Consider the following 22,536-nt stretch of genomic DNA (forward strand, 5'->3'; position numbering starts at 1 on the left):
AAAATAATGCCACTATTTCTGCTACTAAGATAATGAAGAAGTTGCATGTATGGGATTATTAGATCTTCAGATTAACTGTGGGTCTGAGATAATCCCTAGTATATTAAGCCTAGGTAAAAATTTCTTTAACTTGTCAAATACTGAATAAACTCATGAGATGGTGGTGGAGGTGTTAAAATACATATGTGATAAGAGGTACAAGAGAATTTTGCAAAGTTTTTAGAGAGCTAAGAGGAGGAATTCCTGAACTGGTCTGGGAGAAGCCAGGGAAGATTGCACAGTTGATATGACACTTGCATGGTGTCTTAAAAGATGACCAAAAATATAAAGTTGACAAGGACATTTTAGAACTAAGTAAGAACATGTGCAAAGACACAGAGGGATGGAGGTCTCTGTTCACCCACCTCCCAATAATCAGCAGTTCCTGAGCATGAAAAGAAGTGAGGAAAGAACAGGGAATGAAACTAGAGGGCACGGAGTGTTATGATATTATGTTGTGTGAATACAATATTTTATATGAAATATTCAGTGTTTATATGCAAGAACTAATTCAAACTCTTAACAATTAGACTATTATATAAGCAAAAAACAAACATTTCTGAGGGAAAATTCCAATTAAATAACCTGCCATTTTGTAATCTTTGCTCTAATATATACATATAAGAATAATACATACATTGACTTAATCATAACCCATGTTGTATCTAATCTTCTAGAAGCTTACATAACTCTATATTAACTATCAATACATTGTCTTGTAGTTCCTTTTATCTTAAAGTGAGTTACATGAGAGCTCCAATTAATCAATGTAACCATATCTTTTTAATTTTATCCTATAGGGCAAGAGACTGCATATTTATGTATGTAACAGAATCTTGCAGAATGTTAAAAACTTATATTCCTGGGCATCATCTTCATACCAGTAATATCGGAATCCCAAGACCCAGGAATATGCTTTCTCAGCAAGCCCCCCAGACTTTTCAGACACAATGCTGCGATAACCACATATCAACAATCTCTAACCTAAAGAATGTTCAGTGTGAATGAAAAGGTTTATCCTTTTTCCACTGCATACACTGAATAGGATCTGAAGTAGAGGATAATCAGAGTCAGAAAGCTGGGATAATCAGACTTTTAAATTAGACGCTACTTGATCATGGGGGAGCTAAGTCTGTCTCATTGATTCTTCTTCTTTAGACTGGCAGTCAAAACATGTTAGCAACAGAGAATCAAGCACTTCCGTATGTCAAACCTCATGATATGGCTCTGACATACATGCTACCTCTCTCAATCTTTAGCCAATGTGTTCACAATTACAAAAATAAAAATAAAAACCCACCACACTGAATTTCTCATCATTCTATGAACTTACAGAATTCTTTCATATGTCAATACTTTTGGAGAACCTGGGCCCACTGTCTGCAAAAGCCCTCCTTCCTGTTCAGTTCTTCACCTAGCAAACTCCCAGTCTGTCCTTTATAGACCTGAGCAAATGATACCTCCTCACTGGTAAAGCTCTCCCAGAAACCCAGGAGATTCAGTGCTCTCCCCTCTTCTTCCCACAGCAATTTGTTAATGTGGTTGTTAACATATTTCATTGAGATGATATTTATCTTACCATCTCTTTTGTGAGATCTTGAGCTACTGAGAATATTCAGCCTAAATGGTAAATCTAGTAGCCCTTCACAGACAACAGACAATGAACTCAGTTTTAAGTATTTGTGAAAAGATTGCCAAAGCAAAGGGCCCTAGAGCAATTAAGCCACAATCAACCCAGCCCAACCATGACTGAGTTAGTTAATAATCAAAAATCTTTTGGTTAAATTGAATTCTATTAAGAAATCCTAAACCAGCTCAATTACTAGATGCTACATTCTGTAGTCCATTGTCTTAACTGGTGAGATCTATCCCACTGTAACATCAAGGTTGTTTGTAATGTATGAGTTTTTGCTACCAGAAAGTTATAGTACTAGTAAAGGACAAGATCTCCACTAAAGCTCATTTAGTAAATTAGAGAGAGACAGCAGGTCATACCATAAAGAGCCTGGATCCTAAAGTCAGATAAGCCTAGGCTCAAACTTTACGTATTCCACTGTGTGACTCTGAACAGGTTATTTTATTATGAAAAGCCTCTATTACTTAATCTGTAAAATGGAAATTGTTTCACAGGGTGAAGAGCTAATTAGATAATTAAATATGTATTAAAGTATCCAGCATATTGGCTAGCTCATAATAATCACTCATAAATTTTTTATTGCTGTTGTTATACTGAACCGTTGCACCGGGCACAAGCCCTTTCCATTATAAAGCCTGGAAGAACTGAGGCATGAAGGTGGAATGTGATAGTTGATTGGGCCCAGGTTTACAAGGAGGGCAATAGCAGAAGGATTATATTGGCATGCTAGGACATGTAGTATCAAATTGTGTCTTGCAAACTACAAGATATATAAAGGGACTTGACCTCATCCATGTACTTATAAGTTGGTAGATTTGTTTTAAAGACTTTGAAAAGTCTGTTTTTGAGAAAATGTGGATGTTTAAAGTCACCTACTAATCAACGGATAGTGATACAGTTTGGATGTCTGTCCCCTCCAAATCTCATGTTGAAATGTGATCCCCAGTGTTGAAGGTGGGAACTGGTGTCTGGGTCATGGGGGCATGGCGTGATCTCGGCTCACTGCAGCCTCTGCCTACCAGGTTCAAGCGTTTCTCATGCCTCAGCCCTCCCAAGTAGCTGGGATTACAGGCATCTGCCAACATGCCCAGCTAATTTTTGTATTTTTAGTAGAGATGGGGTTTCACCATGTCGACCAGACTGGTCTCCAACTCCTGACCTCAAGTGATCCACCCCTCCTTGGCCTCCCAACGTGCTGGGATTACAGGCGTAAGCCACCATACCTGGCCCCCTTAATTATTTTGGTCTCAGAAATTTAACTTATCAGTGTGGCAAGAGTTAACTGGCCTCTTAGGGGCTGGTTCATAACAACCAAATTCTCAAGAGATAAATGATAAAGCAGACACTAACAGATTTATCAATTTACCATGGAAGAATAAACAGCAGATTTACTAATTTACCAAGGAATAAACACTTCCAACAAGCCCAGGACACTCTTCTCCTGCCATTAGATACCAGATACTTAGGTAGTTTGGAAATGGATGTGTTGTCAAAAGTTTGTCAGTAACAAAAAATCAGAGAAAAGAAATAGGATACTCTTGAGGAATATTTCAACAAAGATAAAGAAAAGCTAATGGTTTCTCCATGTCCCCTAATCCTGTTCATTTTCTAGTGGTCAGACTGTCTTTTAGATAAAGTGTCTCTATGTGGTACAAAATTCCTCCTTTTCTAGACTCAAGCAGATAAGGCCACTCTTTTGTTAATGGGAGCATGCACCTTGCAGATAATTCAGTGACAATTTTCCCTTCTTATAGCCTGGCCACTTTAGTAAAGCTTGGACATTGTCCATAATTTAGTCATTTATCCTCGTACCAGTTTGTAAACTGTATGGTTATGTCTGTACATGATTAAACTCTTGGATATTGTGTGCTGAGTCCTATGAGATACTCTCATGGAGAATGATTTTATCTACCTACAAGCATTGAAGACACTTTATCATGACTCCTACAGAAACGACAACACCAACTCTCACTGGTCCCATTAGGACACACAGGAAATTCTCTGCAAAAGGACTAGCAACTTTGACTCTTTGTAACATGACTTCATGATGGATGCTGCAGTCATTTCTCAAGGATACTTGTTAAGCATAGTCTTCGTTTTTGGTAGGTGATTTACAGAAATATTTAAATGTGTTTCAGCAAGTTAAACATGTCAGCACATGTCAAAACACTGAAGTTATAATGACAGTCTATGACCTTAGCACAAACATGATGTCAATATTGAGAGACCTCTTGTTATCATTAACATCCTCCTTGAACTGAGTGTCTTTGAAAGACTCTTTACCGAGCTCTTAAACAAATTAATTACTGCACATATTTCCTAATTGAAATATTCAGGGCATTAATTTTTTATGGAATTCAGGAATTCTAAAGGGTAGGAATAATTTGATCTTTCTCGGAGTGGGAAGAAGTTTGTTTCTAACAGGAGCTTAATAAAAGAAACTCTGTCTCTATTAATCATAATTAATAGATAATCATATACAATATAATCTAAATCAACATAATAAGAAAAATTGTTGTTTTCAAATAATAAAGTTCAGAAAAATAAGTTGCATCATTAAGTCTGGATACTTGGTACAAAGTAGGAACTGAAGAAATGCTGAATGAAACCTTTACATCTGCCATAATTGTGTAAAGTTTTAATTATGAACAAATTTTCATTGATTTTTATTTGAGGCCATGTTTTGGACATTTCTCCTTCAGTTTTAAATGAATAAATGCTTACCAAGAACTGGCTAAGTGTGATTCAACTCCATGTGCTAGTCAGGCACACCATGTTAGGCACTACGGTGAGTTAATACTAAGTTAGCATCCATGGTGAAACCCCGTGTCTACCAAAAATACAAAAAATTAGCCAAGCGTGGTGGCATGCACCTGTAGTCCCAGCTACTTGGGAGGCTGAGGCAAGAGAATCGCTTGAACCCAGGAGGTGGAGGTTGCAGTGAGTCAAGATTGCGCCCCTGCACTCCAGCCTGGGCGACACAATGAGACTCCATCTCAAAATAAATAAATAAATAAATAAATAAAAATGTAAAATAAAAATACTAAGCATTACAAAGAATTTAAATTTATTCCATGATATACAACTTTTGGGGTGTATTAATTTACCGATGTTCAGATTTGATATTATTTGATTGGACTTTGAAGACCATACTTCAATTACATTTATCAATTTCTATTTGTTTATCCTTAAAAATAATTACATTAATAATAAAAACATTTAGACTTGTAATCTTGTGACCTGCCTGCAAGTCATTTATCAAATAAATTGCTGATTCTTTAAATAGTTCTTAAGAGGACCTCCAATTTCAGAACTACTGGGTTAACTGTTTTCAATCTGTTCAATTATACAGTTTGATAACATGTATTTACAAAGCACCAGCAATGTGCTGAATCCTAGGAAAACAGTGTAAGTGAAAACAAATGAGATGCCATCTTCCGTCTGTGTGACTCTGCAAAGGCACGGCTGATGTCTTATTTTAGTATGTTGCCTTTCATTTTTGGCCATGTCTTACTACAAGGGCTCCTATTGCTATTTTTATTTTTTATTTTTTTTATTATTATTTTTTTTAGTATTTATTGATCATTCTTGGGTGTTTCTCGGAGAGGGGGATGTGGCAGGGTCATAGGACAATAGTGGAGGGAAGGTCAGCAGATAAACATGTGAACAAGGGTCTCTGGTTTTCCTAGGCAGAGGATCCTGTGGCCTTCCGTAGTGTTTGTGTCCCTGGGTACTTGAGATTAGGGAGTGGTGATGACTCTTAACCAGCATGCTGCCTTCAAGCATCTGTTTAACAAAGCACATCTTGCACCGCCCTTAATCCATTTAACCCTGAGTGGACACAGCACATGTTTCAGAGAGCAGGGGGTTGGGGGTAAGGTTACAGATTAACAGCATCCCAAGGCAGAAGAATTTTTCTTAGTACAGAACAAAATGGAGTCTCCTATGTCTACTTCTTTCTACACAGACACCGCAACAATCTGATTTCTCTTTCTTTTCCCCACATTTCCCCCCTTTCTATTTGACAAAACCGCCATCGTCATCATGGCCCGTTCTCAATGAGCTGTTGGGCACACCTTCCAGACGGGGTCGCGGCCGGGCAGAGGCGCTCCCCACATCTCAGACGATGGGCGGCCGGACAGAGACGCTCCTCACTTCCCAGACGGGATGGCGGCCGGGAAGAGGCGCTGCTCACTTCCCAGACTGGGCGGCCGGGCAGAGGGGCTCCTCACATCCCAGACGATGGGCAGCCGGGCAGAGACGCTCCTCACTTCCCAGACGGGGTGGCGGCCGGGAAGAGGCGCTCCTCACTTCCCAGACTGGGCGGCCGGGCAGAGGGGCTCCTCACATCCCAGACGATGGGCGGCCAGGCAGAGACACTCCTCAGTTCCCAGACGGGGTCGCCGCCGGGCAGAGGTGCTCTTCACATCTTAGACTGGGCGGCCGGGCAGAGGGGCTCCTCACATCCCAGACTATGGGCGGCCAGGCAGAGACGCTCCTCACTTCCCAGACGGGGTGGCGGCCGGGCAGAGGCTGTAATCTTAGCACTTTGGGAGGCCAAGGCAGGCGGCTGGGAGGTGGAGGTTGTAGCGAGCCGAGATCACGCCACTGCACTCCAGCCTGGGCAACATTGAGCACTGAGTGAGCGAGACTCCGTCTGCAATCCCAGCACCTCGGGAGGCCGAGCTGGGCAGATCACTCGCGGTCAGGAGCTGGAGACCAGCCCGGCCAACACGGCCAAACCCCGTCTCCACCAAAAAATACAAAAACCAGTCAGGCGTGGTGGCACGCGCCTGCAATCCCAGGCACTCTGCAGGCTGAGGCAGGAGAATCAGGCAGGGAGGTTGCAGTGAGCCGAGATGGCGGCAGTACAGTCCAGCCTCCGCTCGGCATCAGAGGGAGACCGTGGAGAGAGGGGAGACGGGAGAGGGGAGAGGGGAGAGGGAGAGGGCTATTTTTAGTAATATATATTTTAACTGGCAGTTCTCCGGCCAGATCTGTGGTTGCATTCTCTTATACTAGCCGGTCTCACACTTAAATCCATTGGCAGAGCATCTGAAAGATGCAGTGTTCTCTGCAGAAGCATAGTTAACCTGGCATAAAATTAGGAAGAATTCTTCCACGGCAATGTGACTCCATTACATTAATAAACTATACATTTATATGCAGGAATCCATCATTCCACACATTAAAAAGCTGTTAAATGAAGCTAAGTTGAGGGTTTTGAAAATAAATTTAAGCCAGTGAAAAGAGTTAAGTATTAAAATAATGTTATTTGAGAATGCTGAAGAATTAAACAATTAATGAGCACATTAAGGTTAAGAGAGGACATTCAAGAGTTGTCCTTCATTGGGGAAGAGGACACTAATCATGATGACAATCATGACTCAACAGATATGCTCAAAGACATACCCAGGTGTTATGTGTACCCTCACTTGCCTGACCCTTAAAAGTGGCCAGCAGAATGGTCAATGAGGTTTGAGAAAAGAGGGAATAGCAAGAGTGCAAGAATAACCCACAGGCTGACATGGTATCTTCATCAACCACCTGCAAAGTATCTGACACTTGCCCTGTATTCTGGCACTGATCACAATGGGCATTCAGGTCATTCGTGCTGCAGACATGCACATGTGTATATCCAGGTTATTAAATGAGCTCAACTCCATGAGGGTACACTCCTCCTCAAGACAGAGATCATGCCTTATCCAGCTCAAAGTTCTCTGGGCTGGAAACTGGGCCTTCACACAGAAAGTATTTTTCAAAAGTTTCTTGTGGATATTAATGAGCAAAATATTTTTCTAAATATAGTTGATGTAAATAACACATGTTGGGAAGACAAATTTATACAACACTAAAACCCAGCTATAAGGTAACTGCAGTTGACTCATTTCATTGCTAAAGCACAATCACTTGCTAACATCCTCTTCTTGGGCAGTCTTTTAAGTGGCCAGTTTGGCTGCTATAGGTAACATCATTTCCTGATGGACATCATCTTGGATAGAAAATAGAATACAGAATAACATTACAAGGAGCATCTTGCCTTTGCCTATGAGATAAGAAACTAGTGCTCTTCAAGGCTCAAAAACAAAAACAAAAAATGAAAACTGGGCACACATAAGAGGTCTTAGAATATTTGCTGTAGGAAACTTGGTCATTCAGAACTTAATGAGGCTTTATGTTGCCATTTTTTCTTTAAAACATGAAGTATGAGTGCCAACATTTTGATATATTACAATCTCTGTCTCCCATCCTGTCCTACTTTTAAGCCCCTTCTATTTTCTTCTGACTCATAATTTTTCAGTCATGTACCAGATGTAAGCACGACATCATGTATAAAAAAAAGGAAGGAAGGGAGGGAGAGATGGAGCAAGGGAGGAAGGAAGGAAGGAAAAAGAGAAAAAGAAATAATTTATTCTTGCTTTTTAGCATAAAGATTTAATGACACATTTCAAACATTTCTATACAATGGCCATGTTGACCATCTCATAAAACTTAACCACCCCCCAACACACACAAAAAATGAAAGAAATCCACCAGAGGATACTTAAAATCCCAACTTGGGAAATAGTTTTAAGGCCTTCTATTATGGGTTGAATTGTGCCTCCCAAATATTAATATGTTGAAGTCCAAATCTCCAGTACCTCAGAGTGTGACCTATTTAGAAACAGGGCCATTGCAGATGCAATTAATTAAGATGAGGTCATAACTAAGTAGTGCAGGCTCCTAATCCAATATGACTGATGTGTTTATAAGAAGGGAAAATCTGTACAAAGAAATAAACACAGGGAGAATGCCATGTAAAGATGAAGGCAGAGATTGGGATGATGCTTCTACAAACCAAGGAATGCCAAAAAAATGCCAGCAAACTACCAGAAGAGAGGCTGAAGGCATGGATCAGAGTCTCTCTCACAGCCCTTAGAAGGAACCAACCCATGATCTGGACTCCAAGCCGTTAGAACTGTAAGGCAATACATGTCTATTGTTTAAGCCACCCAGTTTGTGGTACTTTGTTATGACAGCCCCAGCAAACTAATATACCTTCTTTGAAGTCATTTACTGACAATAGGAGGGCCTGTCTTCACAAGGCAAGCCATCACCGTTCGTGCCCCCATTGAAACCATGCTATGGGATAAGCTTGAGTTCTGCCTTGGCTGAAGTTGTACAATCACTTACCATGGAAACCAACACCATGTCCTATTTTGTTCTCTTGTGATCACACAAAGCAGAAACAGGATTAGCACTGCAGCCACAAGTGGTCCCCATAGAGCTTATCTATATCTATATATATACATAGATACATAGATATAGATAATATATATATAATATATATCTATAGATAATATATAATATATATATAATATATATCTATAGATAATATATAATATATAGAGATATATATATAAGTATATGATAAATACAAAAATTAGCCAGGCGTGGTGGTGCATGCCTGTAATCCCAGCTACACGGGAGGCTGAGGCAGGAGAATTGCTTGAACCCAGGAGGCCGAGGTTGTGGTGAGCCGAGATTGCACCATTGCACTCCAGCCTGGGCAACAAGAGCAAATCTCTGTCCCAAAAAAATATATATATATATCTATATAGAGAGATATATATCTATATAGAGAGATATATATCTATATAGAGAGATATATATCTATATAGAGAGATATATATCTATATAGAGAGATATATATCTATATAGAGAGATATAGAGAGATATCTATATAGAGAGATATATATCTATATAGAGAGATATAGAGAGATATCTATATAGAGAGATATAGAGAGATATCTATATAGATATATAGATATCTCTATATATCTATATAGATTTATATATTATATATCTATAGATAGATTTATATCTATATATCCTATAGATAGATTTATATCTATATATCCTATAGATAGATTTATATCTATATATCCTATAGATAGATTTATATCTATATATCCTATAGATAGATTATATCTATATATCCTATAGATAGATTTATATCTATATATCCTATAGATAGATTTATATCTATATATCCTATAGATAGATAGATTTATATCTATATATCCTATAGATAGATAGATTTATATCTATATATCCTATAGATAGATAGATTTATGTATAATATAGATATATAGGTATAAGTCTATCTATATATAGATACATAGATATAAATCTATCTATATATAGATATATGATATAAATCTATCTATATATAGATATATGATATAAATCTATCTATATATAGGTATATCTAGATATAAATATATAGACATATCTATATATAAATCTATCTATATATAGATCTATAGCCATTGAAATATAGATATCTATAGATCTTTATATCTTTGTATATCTATATATCTATAGATATAAATCTATCTATACATAGATCTATAGATCTATATACATATAAATCTATCCATGGAGCTATAGATCTATATAGATATAAATCTATCCACAGAGCTATAGATCTATATGGATATAAATCTATCCACGGAGCTATAGATCTATATGGATATAAATCTGTCCATGGAGCTATAGATCTATATAGATATGAATCTCTCTATATATAGATATATAGATATAAATCCAACTATATATAGATATATAGATAAAAATCCAACTATATATAGATATAGATATAAATCCATCTATATATAGATATATATGGATATAAATAAATCTCTATATTTTTTTGAGGCAGAGTTTTGCTCTTGTTGCCCAGGCTGCAGTGCAATGGCGCGATCTTGGCTCCCCGCAACCTCAGCCTCCTGGGTTCAAGCAATTCTCCAGCCTCAGCCTCCCGAGTAGCTGGGATTACAGGCATGTGCCACCACGCCCTGCTAATTTTGTATTTTTTAGTAGAGACGGGGGTTTCACCATGTTGGCCGGGCTGGTCTCGAACTCCTGACCTCGTGATCCACCTGCCTCAGCCTCCCAAAGTGCTGGGATTACAGGCGTGAGCCACCGGGCTCAGTCGCAGCTTATCTATATTTACCATAAACAATGGCCAGGCAAGGCAGCCATTGACTGACACATTAATGTAAGACATACATCAAGTGTCCTTCAGTTCAAGGACAGGGATGAAACCCCATACTTAGTCTATTCCCCACACAGCCTCCAGTTCAGTACTAAGCACAGAGCTTTGCCTTAGTATTTAATCTTCAATGTAAGACACTAGCAACTCTCTTCGACAGTTTATTATGTTTTAAAATAATTTGAATAAAAATATAAAGAAGCTTGTTTATATTTGTAAATATTAATAACAACAAAAAACAAAGCAGTGCATTTTTTTTCTCCACTGAGAAAGCTTTTCATAGGGGGAGGGTGGGCTCCATCAAAGACAAGCAAGTCTTTTTCACCATCTAGTGGCAATAGGGGATTATAACATCAGAGATCTTAAATTTAAACTTCCCTTCCCGCATCAAGCTTTATTGAAGTATACTTGACACATAAGAATTGTATCTTAATCCTTTCAAGGACAATTAAAACTATACTTAGAAAATTGTAGTCGTGTAGGGTTCACAAATAGAGCTGCATCCCTGTGTGTACACAGGGAAGGCCAGTGTAACCTTTCCTTGCCTGTTACCTTGGGCCTGTGTGCAGGAATGTTACCTATGTGATGAACTATTTATTCATCTAACAAATCTCCACTTAGTCGTTACTGTATTCCAGCCTCCATAATGGTAATAAAAAAGCTGACTATCAGGAGTTTGAGACCAGCCTGGCCAACATGGTGAAACCACATCTCTACTAAAAACACAAAAATTAGCCAGGTATGGTGGTGCATGCCTGTAATCCCAGCTACTTGGGAAGCTGAGGCAGGAGAATCGCTTAAATGAGAAAGGCAGAGGTTGCAGTGAGTTGAGATCGCACCACTATACTTTAGCCTGGGCAACAGAGTGAAACTCTGTCAAAAAAAAAAAAAAAAAAAGAAAGCTAAGAAACCTAATTCACAAAATAGGCAATCATACAATATAAGGGAGTCAGACCTAAAGTGTCTGTCAGACCTAAAGTGACAGCTCACAAATGTCAAATTTAAATACATTTATTCCACGCTTGCTATGCTTCCAAAAATATGCAAAATATCACCCACCAATGGTTACTTTTTTCACCAATATAGGCCTTCGTCTGACGATTTGAATCTTTTGTTGGTTGGATCTTGTGTCCCATGACTTCCAGACGCCTTGGCTTTGCTCCGTGTTCCTGCTTCACACTGCAAACCGCCTTTTGATGAAGTTTGTGGCCCCACCTCTTTGACTTTGTTCCTTGAACATTTTTCTTAGACATGATTGTATTTGCTCTAGTTTCTGTGATAACCTTAGAGAACCCTTACTAACCAAAAATTATACTGGAAAGCCAAAAGGGGATGACATCAAAAGCCCGAGGCCTTGAGGTCCTTGTTCCCTGGAGATGAGACAATGCCTTCTTTGCTGTCTGTGCAGAAAAGGCTGTGCAAACCACAATTTTGTACATTCAGATTTCAACAATGACCACTACACTTGCCTAAAGTATCTGCTTTGCTGGTGTCCTGATTTTAGAAAGGTACCATAAAGCTTACCAAGGGACCATGCTCTCTGGCACCAAGGAAGCAAACTCATTACCAAGAGAAAAGATCAGTATAGATTTTGGTGGTCGGATTACTTCACAGAACCTCAAACCTTTCCCCCCATCCAAGGTACTAGCCTTAATAATAGGCCCTGAGTATGTTCCTGAAGAACTGTAAGCTACCCAGGTGCCGACCAATGCCTCTGTTGTAGACTGAATAGTGTCCCCCAAATTTCATTTGTTGCAGTCCTAACCTCCTGCCCCTCAGAATAAAACCGTATTTAGAGATAAGGCCTTTAAAGAGGCAATTAAGGCCAGACATGGTAGCTCACACTTTGAATCTCAACATTTTGGAAGGCTAAGGCAGGAGGACCACTTGAAGCCGGGAGTTCAAGACCAGCCTGGGCAACAAAGCAAGACACCATCTCTACAAATTTTTTTTTTTTTTTTGACGGAGTCTCGCTCTGTCGCCCAGGCTGGAGTGCAGTGACGCGATCTCAGCTCACTGCAAGCTCCGCCTCCCGGGTTCATGCCATTGCCATTCTCCTGCCTCAGCCTCCCGAGTAGCTGGGACTACAGGCGCCCGCCACCATGCCCGGCTAATTTTTTGTATTTTGTTTAGTAGAGACGGGGTTTCACCGTGTTAGCCAGGATTTTCTCGATCTCCTGACCTCGTGATCCGCCCACCTCGGCCTCCCAAAGTGCTCGGATTACAGGCGTGAGCCACCGCGCCCAGCCCAAAAAATTTTTTAAAGTGATTGAGTTAAAATAAAATCTTCAGAGTGGGACCTAATTCAATATGAGTGGTATTCCCATAAAAAGAAACGTGGACACAGAGAAAAATCAAATGCATGCACACGCAGAGATGACCCTGTGAACACGCCAAGAGGAGGCAGTTGACTCCAGTGATGAACAAGGAGAGAGGCCTCAGAAGAAACTAAACATGCTAACACCTCAATCTTGAACTTCTAGTCTCCAGAAGTGTGAGAAAACAAATTTGTGTTGTTGAACTCACTCTGGTTGTGGTATGTTGTTATGGCAGCCTTAGCAAACTAATATACCCTCCTATGCAATAACCTAATCTTGGTTCAACACTCTTTCCCCTCTAGAAAATTTGCAGCTCTCCATGCAGTCTTCAACTTGAGTAACAGCCCTTCTTCTTGGAAGATGAAGTTGTCTTTTTATTGATCCTGACTCATCTTTGGAAAGGTAAAATGACTTTTCAGCCAGATTTATATTCATTCGGGGATGAACAATTATCTTCTTTGGGGGAGATCAGTAAAATAGCAAAGAAACTCCCTCAGCCCCACATATTCATCAGGCCACTTCCCTCGTGATTTGCATATCATCTCTGCATATAGATTCTTCTGAGATCGCTGAAATGGGTATCCAGCCCCTGGTGTCTTTCATCAATACATCTTTGGTGGTATTCCCAGGAACTTCTACAATGTGTCAAAATAAAACATTTCAATGTCTTATTTTAATGTCTACCAGGCCACATTATGACCTCAACTGAGAGTTCGTCCTCTCAAATTATGTTCAATTATGCTATTCTGCCTAACTCCCTGAATTAATACTGTACAGTGAACACCAGATGACGATATAACCCAAGTAATGTACATCTCTGACTGTTTTAGTATCTCAGGATCCAAACTCCTCCCATCCACTTTCATTGAGAGACTTCTAATTTCAGTCTTATTTTCAATCCCTTCTCCTCAATTCCTTAAGTGATTTGTTAAAAATTCAAGCCACATTTGGCCAGGCGCAGTGGCTCACGCCTGTAATCCCAGCACTTTGGGAGGCCGAGGAGGGCGGATCACAAGGTCAGGAGATCGAGACCATTCTGGCTAACACGGTGAAACCCCATCTCTGCTAAAAATACAAAAATTAGCCGGGCATGGTGGCAGGCGCCTATAGTCCCAGCTACTCGGGAGGCTGAGGCAGGAGAATGGCGTGAACCCAGGAGGCGGAGCTTGCAGTGAGCCGAGATCGCGCCACTGCACTCCAGCCTGGGCGACAGGGTGAGACTCCGTCTCAAAAAAAAAATTAAAAAAAAAAATAAAGCCATATTTATATTGCTTTCCTTCTGGTAACAATCCCCTTTGAGCACCTAAAATGTGAACTATAGAGGCCCTCAATTGGCACAGACTATCCCATGTGACAATGCCAGTTTTACTACCTGGCACTCCCTCTTTCAAACTCAGTGATCCAGTCACGTGGATCTCCGTATCTTTTCCTGAGTGCAAAATGACATTTTATAACTCAAAGTTTAAATATACCGTTATTCGCTGCCTGGAAGACTTTTCTTTCACATACTCATTGGGCTGCATGTGATAACTTTTCAAATTCTACTCTGGTAGCACTTTTTGTATGATGTCCTTTGCAATCCTTCCCAGACCACAGCAAAGGGTGCTCACCCCCGTGACTGACAAATAGTTCTATAATTCTGTTATTATAATATATTTCCCTGATTAGATTGAGAGGATGCTCAGGAAAGGGCTTATACCTTTATTATCTTCTTATCTCTAGCACCTAACAAACACAGTAATTTACAATTAGTGGCTGTTAATTAAAAAATTTATTCAGGATCAGGAATAGAGCAGGAAAAATGTGGTCTTTGTGTGCCTCCTTGCTTTTTGAGGGGAGGGAGGTGGTTAGAGCAGGAATATGAGAAATGTTAATTTTGCACTGCCTGGGTCTTCCAAACAAAAGAAGCTGTCATTCTAACAGCTCCTGTGCCCACACTTGCCTCACCTGGGAGGTTCTCACACCTTGAACACACATTTGTGGTTTTGCTTTATCTATTTTCTCAACACTGTTGTTTTCATGGCAGTCACTAGATTAATCCCATGTTTGTCTGTATGAGATAAGCTTTCAATTTGTCATGTCACAACCAGAGAGGGGTTACAGAGCAGCAGCATGGTATTGTTAAAAAAAAAAAAAAATCTCAATTCGTTTAGCTTTCAAGCATATTATTAGGCCTATTCCTAGTTCCTCTCTGAACCACCATATCATACCAACCTCCCTCTTTTAGACAAGCTAGGCATTCTCAGAGCCCTTAATGCTGGAAAAAACAAGATGACATATGGATAAATATTTAGATCTAGCCTCTTCCCCAACACTCCAGGTAAGTGGCTTTATCCTTCCTAGTTCTTCTTTGACTGGACAGCCAGCCCATGCTTCCAGATACTTTCTTGCTTCTCCTCTGCTCTTCCAATTCAATGTTGGATCTTCACAGTTTCAAATCTGAATCACCTCCTATTATTTTTTCACATTGATTTGATTCCTTATTCTGCTAGCATGGAATTATCTACCCCTTAGTCTAGTTATTTTTCATTCTTGCCCTCCAGTGTCTACACTTTAGCTTTAACTGATATTCGTAGGTGATTAATAGAGATCTAGTCCAAGAAAAAATATAAAGAGACAGAGGTATATGATTATATGTAATAGATATTTAATTTTCTATTTTATATATGCACACATACACATAAATTTGTAGTATCAATGCACTCACTGTAGCTCTGCAAGAAAGAATCATTACATAGCCTGAAAGATGCTTATACAAGTGAATATCAGAGTTTTGAAATATTATATTTGAAAGGGTTATGAAAGATGATCTATTTCAATTCGCTCCAATTAAGCACAAGACAAAGGAGGCTGAATGTGGAGATATGTCCAAGGTGAAACAGCCAGAAAAAAGTCAATTAAAAGACTGAATGTTCTCCTCCTAAGATCAAGGATCAAGGCAAGAATGTCCACTATCACCACTTGTGTGTAGCACTGTATTGACTGTCTTAGCCAGAACAATAAGACAAGAGAAATAACTAAAAGGGGTTACAGTTGGAAAGAAAGAAGAAAAGTGTCCCCATTCACAGACAACCAGATTGCGTATGTGAACAGTGACAAAAATTTCCAAGGAATCCACACAGTAAATAATAAAATTAATAAAAGAATTTATCAAGCTATCAGGATATGTCACCATATACACACCACTTGCATTTCTATTTACCAACAAAAAGAAATTGAAATGCATATATATTTGAAAAATACCACATATTTTAAAATATAAAATAACAGGGAAAATTAACTTTTTTTTTTTTTTTTTTTTTGAGACAGAGTCTCACTCCATCACCCAGGCTGGAGTGCAGTGGTGCCATCTTGGCTCACTCCAAACTGTCTCCTGGGTTCAAGCGATTCTCCTGCCTCAGACTCCCGAATAGCAGGGATTACAGGAGCATGCCACCACACCCAGCTTATTTTTGCATTTTTAGTAGAGATGGGGTCTCACCATGTTGGCCAGGCTGGTCTGGAACTCCTGACCTCAAATGATCCACCCGCCTCAGCCTCCCAAAGTGCTGGGATTACAGGCTTGAGCCACCGCGCCTGGCAGATCTGTAAAGCTTTTATACTGAAAGATACAGAACATTGCAGACAGAATTTAAAGACCTATAGAAATGAGAGATACATTGTTCATGAATCAGCAGAATCAATATTATTAAGATATCAATTCTCCCAAGATTGATCTACAAATTACTGCCATACCACTCAAAACCTAGGAAGCAGTTTTGGAGAAACTGACAATTCCAAAGCTAGTAGGAAAAGAAAAGGACGTAGTATAGCCAAAACAACATTGAAAAAGAAGAATAAAGTTGGAGGATTTACACTACCTCATTAGGAACTTATTTTAAATCTGTAATGATCTAGCTACTGTGGTATTGGCATAAAGAAAAATGAATAGATCAGTAGAACAGAATAAAAGAATTCGGAAGGAAATCCATGCAATATATAGTCGGTTGATTTTCTTTTCTTTTTTTTTTTAATTTTTATTCTACTTTAAGTTCCAGGATACACGTGCAGAATGTTCAGGTTTGTTAACATAGGTATACATGTGCCATGGTGGTTTGCTGCACCGATCAACCCATCATCTAGGTTTTAAGCCCCACATGCATTAGGTGTTTGTCCTAATGCTCTCCCTCCCCTTGCCCCCGACCCCTCAACAGGCCCCCGTGTGTGATGTTCCCCTCCCTGTGTCCATGTGTTCTCATTGTTCAACTCCCACTTATGAGTGAGAACATGCAGTGTTTGGTTTTCTACTCTTGTGTTAGTTTGCTGAAGATGATAGCTTCCAGCTTCATCCATGTCCCTGCAAAGGACGTGAACTCATTCTTTTTTATGGCTGCAGAGTATTCCACGGTGTATCTGTGCAACATTTTCTTTATCCAGTCTATCATTGATGGGCATATGGGTTAGTTCCAAGTCTTTGCTATTGTGAACAGTGCTGCAATAAACATATGTGTGCATGTGTCTTTATAGTAGAATAATTTACCATCAGAGAGAAAATTCCATGGAGGTTCAGTATTTCTTCTTTTCAGCATTTTCTGAAGTATCTCCAAAGCAGAAATGTAGTCTGTTGCTGCATAAAGAGTGGGAAATAATACTGGCAACCTTTCTGAGACTTATTCATTGCATCCACATCATCTTTTTGTGGGTAGCCCTAAAATAATGTACCGTTCTTTTTTTTTTTTTTTTTTGAGATGGAGTCTCGTTCTGTCGCCAGGCTGGAGGGCAGTGGCGTGATCTCAGCTCACTGCAACCTCCGCCTCCCAGGTTCAAGCAATTCTTCTTTCTTCTGCCTCAGCCTCCTAGTAGCTGGGACTACAGGCACGTGCCACCATGCCCAGCTAATTTTTGTATTTTTAGTAGAGACGGGGTTTCACCATTTTGGCCAGGATGGTCTCAATCTCTTGACCTCATGATCCTCCTGCCTTGGCCTCCCAAAGTACTGGGATTACAGGCATGAGCCACCGCGCCCAGCCAATAGTGTACTCTTCTAACCCTTCCCCCAAGCACAATCAAGTAACCTAAATGATTCACTTTGAGCCTCACAAGCTTTGGTCTATAGGAACTGGACAGGTAAGTCAGAAGGAGTGTCAGATAAACAAATTCGAGGAAAAGTGGATTCCGGGGCCAGATGTTAGTCCATTTCTTTTCTCTCTTTTGCTTTAACCATTTGTATTGCAGTTGCAGCAAATATTGTCTAAATGAGAAAAGCAAAGGAAGGGCATTGCCATAGTCAAAGAGGGAAATAATGAAAAGGGAGAATAAATACAAGGAAAAAAGATGATTGAAGAAGCAAGTCAAAAACCACAGAATGGGGAAAAATCTAACATTTATTAATTACCTACTGTACATCAACTACAGTCTTAGTTGCTTGACATGAAATATCTCTATTCCTCAAAACAACTCTGATAAAGAAATATTGTCATTGCCCTTTTATAAATAATCTGAATCTCAGTGAGGATCATCAACTTGCTCTAGGTGACAAAAATGAAGTGGTAAAGTGGAAAGTGTTTATTGCACAAAGACCCTAGTCTTTCCTGTGCACCAAGCTTTCCTATAGTTAAAGAAGGGAACCATATGCATGATCCTAAGGCCATGAAAGTTCTATCTCTGTTGGAGTGAGTACATGACAGACCTAAAAGATGCATTCTGATTGCAAATACTAACTAGCGAAGAGATTTTTTTTTACTGTGCTTTGAAAAATCTTGGCAATCATTCAAATTTATGACCTTCTCTGAGAATGAAGAATATTTGATGTGATATAAAACAATTCAGTAATGGCCATGATTACAATCTGCTACTAAGAAGCAAGTTATACAATCACTATTGTACAGTGGTGACATTGACAATATGCATTCCCCACGCCACCATACACTGTTAACCATTCATCTCTCACTTGGAAAACAGACAAGTTGTGAACAGGGATTATAAAGCATCACTCAAATAGATAGAACCATCAGTGGATTTCTGAAGGGTAACGATGCCTTTATAGGGTGAAGCTCACTTCCCAAAAGAAAAAGTGTTTCTGAAAGCAAATGGACCTTCATGTTCTATGAGAAATATCTGCCCTCAATGGCCTTCTCTTTAAGCCATATTGAACAATAGAAAAGTTACTTAAGCACGCATTCCCCTGTCTTTGGTAGGCTCCATATCAAGTACAACTTGATCTCATTGATATTATAAAACTCTCCTACAATCTGAAGGAGAAACTACCAACATTATCCATTATTTTTAACTTCATTTAAATCAACAAGCCTGACTTCATAACACTATTGGGAGAAGAGTAAAGTTCCCCTTCCCAAAGACAATGTAGACAGGAAACATGTTTATGTATTGTTTGAATAACCCTACAGTTAGACAAGACAAGCTACTGACTATAATTGGGTTTATGGGACACTGTCCCTGGAGTTTTAGAATTTGTAATACTATACAAATAGATGTTTAATTTGCTGCATGAATTGAAGACTTTTCAAAAGGAACAAATAGCTTAAATTGCCCTACACTGCCAATGGCTGGTTCTTTGCAGGATGTTTCTGCAGCACAAACATCAGGACAACAGCAAGATGAAAGAAGTATCTGCCATGTGTCTCCTAGCATGAGACACATGTCACCATTTTCCTGAGTTTGAGAAGGAAACTCTGGGCTTGTTTCTAAGTGTCCAAAGTCTCTGTTACTTTATGGCTGCAGAAATCTATACCTTTTTTTGCCTTTATTCCCTGAGACTTCCAAATTATTTTGGATATATCTCTAGGAATGGCAGAAGAAACTGTGAACTTGGAAATCCAAACAGTTCCTAAGTAAGAAGATTATTACCAAATCAGAGGAAGAAAATCATGCCAATGGTACAGAGGTAAATAGATCAGTTAAAATGTGGTTTTGGAAAAAGAAAGAATGCAAAATATTGTTTCTTTTCTCATTCTTTTGTGATACCGATTAAATACACCATCCTCCTACCCTCACATTGCCAAAAGAAAATCTTACAGCAAAAGTAACATTTTAAGGATGTATCTGTTGACTTCCTGCTTAAATTTTTCTTATTAGTGACAAATTTCTTCAATATATATTACTATCACTAACCTAGAGAACCATTGAAGAACAGAACACAAGTTCATATAAATAAAACATGCCAGATATGTGAAGGAGGGGGTTATGTTTTATATATGTGTGACGTTAATCCTTCTATGCATACGTACAGGTGAACATAACATAAAAAAATGTTCCCGGCAAATTGGACATCTGTAAAAGTATTTTTCTTCCTGGGATTTTTTCACTACCCCAAAGTTCAGGTCATCATATTTGCGGTGTGCTTGCTGATGTACCTGATCACCTTGCTGGGCAACATTTTTCTGATCTCCATCACCATTCTAGATTCCCACCTGCACACCCCTATGTACCTCTTCCTCAGCAATCTCTCCTTTCTGGACATCTGGTACTCCTCTTCTGCCCTCTCTCCAATGCTGGCAAACTTTGTTTCAGGGAGAAACACTATTTCATTCTCAGGGTGCGCCACTCAGATGTACCTCTCCCTTGCCATGGGCTCCACTGAGTGTGTGCTCCTGCCCATGATGGCATATGACCGGTATGTGGCCATCTGCAACCCCCTGAGATACCCTGTCATCATGAATAGGAGAACCTGTGTGCAGATTGCAGCTGGCTCCTGGATGACAGGCTGTCTCACTGCCATGGTGGAAATGATGTCTGTGCTGCCACTGTCTCTCTGTGGTAATAGCATCATCAATCATTTCACTTGTGAAATTCTGGCCATCTTGAAATTGGTTTGTGTGGACACCTCCCTGGTGCAGTTAATCATGCTGGTGATCAGTGTACTTCTTCTCCCCATGCCAATGCTACTCATTTGTATCTCTTATGCATTTATCCTCGCCAGTATCCTGAGAATCAGCTCAGTGGAAGGTCGAAGTAAAGCCTTTTCAACGTGCACAGCCCACCTGATGGTGGTAGTTTTGTTCTATGGGACGGCTCTCTCCATGCACCTGAAGCCCTCCGCTGTAGATTCACAGGAAATAGACAAATTTATGGCTTTGGTGTATGCCGGACAAACCCCCATGTTGAATCCTATCATCTATAGTCTACGGAACAAAGAGGTGAAAGTGGCCTTGAAAAAATTGCTGATTAGAAATCATTTTAATACTGCCTTCATTTCCATCCTCAAATAACAATCACACTCATATAGATAATCAACATTACCCAGAAAACTGCATAATAGTTTACTTAAACCAACCCTGGAAACTACTTATTTTCAATAGAAGTTTACTATTATATCCTCTATTCTGATTTGTCTTATAAGTAAAACTTTTCATATTAACAAATCATTTATGAAGAATAAATTAAGTTTCCAAGAAAGCAATTAGCATTTATTGAATATTAGTATAACATTAAAATTAGATAATTGCCTATTATTTCATATTTACTTTCTATAGCATCTCAGTGTCCAGCTGTGACATAAGCATAATAACAATAAATATGCCAAAACTGTAAAATTTTGAGACTAGTCAATTTTGAAATAATTTACTCCAAATAATTCACAATTTCCCCTCAATTTAAAAAGAATATATGTTTTTTAATTAGTGTGGATACAACTCAAAGTATACACACATGCACACACACACACACACACACCCCTAATAATTTGTAAAACCAAAACAGCATCAATTTTGGAACTCTTCCTAGTTTCCAACATGTTAAAGTGGAAAAAACATGGTTTTAACTGTAATGAAATATGAGTGATTTTGGGTTTTTCTGTTTTGTTTTGTTTTGTTTTTTGAGACAGGGTCTTGCTCTGTCACCCAGGCTGGAGTGCAGTGGCGCAATCTCAGCTCACTGCAAGCTCCGCCTCCTGGGTTCACGCCATTCTCCTGCCTCAGCCTCATGAGTAGCTGGGACTACAGGCGCCCACCACCAAGTCTGGCTAATTTTTGTATTTTTAGTAGAGACAGGATTTCACCTTGTTAGCCAGGATGGTCTCAATCTCCTGACCTTGTGATCCGCCCGCCTTGGCCTCCCAAAGTGCTGGGATTACAGGCGTGAGCCACCACGCCCGGCTGAGTGATTTTCTTTATTTGGAATGTTATATGTGGGGGATGATAAAATATCTGTGTGTGTGCAAATATATCATAACAAGGGTTGGCACTATTGTAATCCTATGTATGAGGTGGAATAGAGGTACAATTGGGAGATCCTGAAGTATCTATGGATATAAGATTAGAATATACTTATATTGTACTTTGATTGTCTCAGTGAATTCATCAACACACACCTATCATGTTATTATTTTTCTTAAAGCATGCTGAATTGACCAGTTAATTAAAGCTGAGGAGTGAAATTATATTGCAAGATAAATAATATATGAATGCAGATACATATTGTAGAAACAGATTCATAAATATATGTGAGCAAAATTACATAAATTATAATTTTACCAATGTTACATATTGATGTACTTTTCCTTGTCTTTT

The 22,536-nt window shown here is 39.3% G+C and overlaps 1 protein-coding gene across 1 annotated transcript, besides 1 other annotated feature; it reads left to right on the top strand.

Moving 5' to 3' along the window:
- Positions 5,198-5,699: an enhancer, noted in NCBI's record as "NANOG hESC enhancer chr9:107251464-107251965 (GRCh37/hg19 assembly coordinates)". NCBI's record gives its function as "activates a minimal SCP1, AML or CMV promoter by ChIP-STARR-seq in naive H9 embryonic stem cells {active_cell/tissue: H9 hESC(naive)}" and the evidence as "EXISTENCE:reporter gene assay evidence [ECO:0000049][PMID:30033119]".
- On the top strand, positions 20,278-21,237 carry OR13F1 (olfactory receptor family 13 subfamily F member 1). The gene has a single exon (NM_001004485.1). The coding sequence runs from the start codon at positions 20,278-20,280 to the stop codon at positions 21,235-21,237; it is 960 nt and encodes a 319-aa protein (NP_001004485.1).
- The last annotated feature ends 1,299 nt before the right edge of the window (positions 21,238-22,536 follow it).

The sequence above is a fragment of the Homo sapiens genome, chromosome 9, assembly GCF_000001405.40.
Source record: "Homo sapiens chromosome 9, GRCh38.p14 Primary Assembly".
NCBI classification, from domain to species: Eukaryota; Metazoa; Chordata; class Mammalia; order Primates; family Hominidae; genus Homo; species Homo sapiens.

Coding starts and splice junctions, on each gene's coding strand:
- OR13F1 (NM_001004485.1), top strand. CDS start 20,278: ATGTTCCCGGCAAATTGGACATCTGTAAAAGTATTTTTCTTCCTGGGA.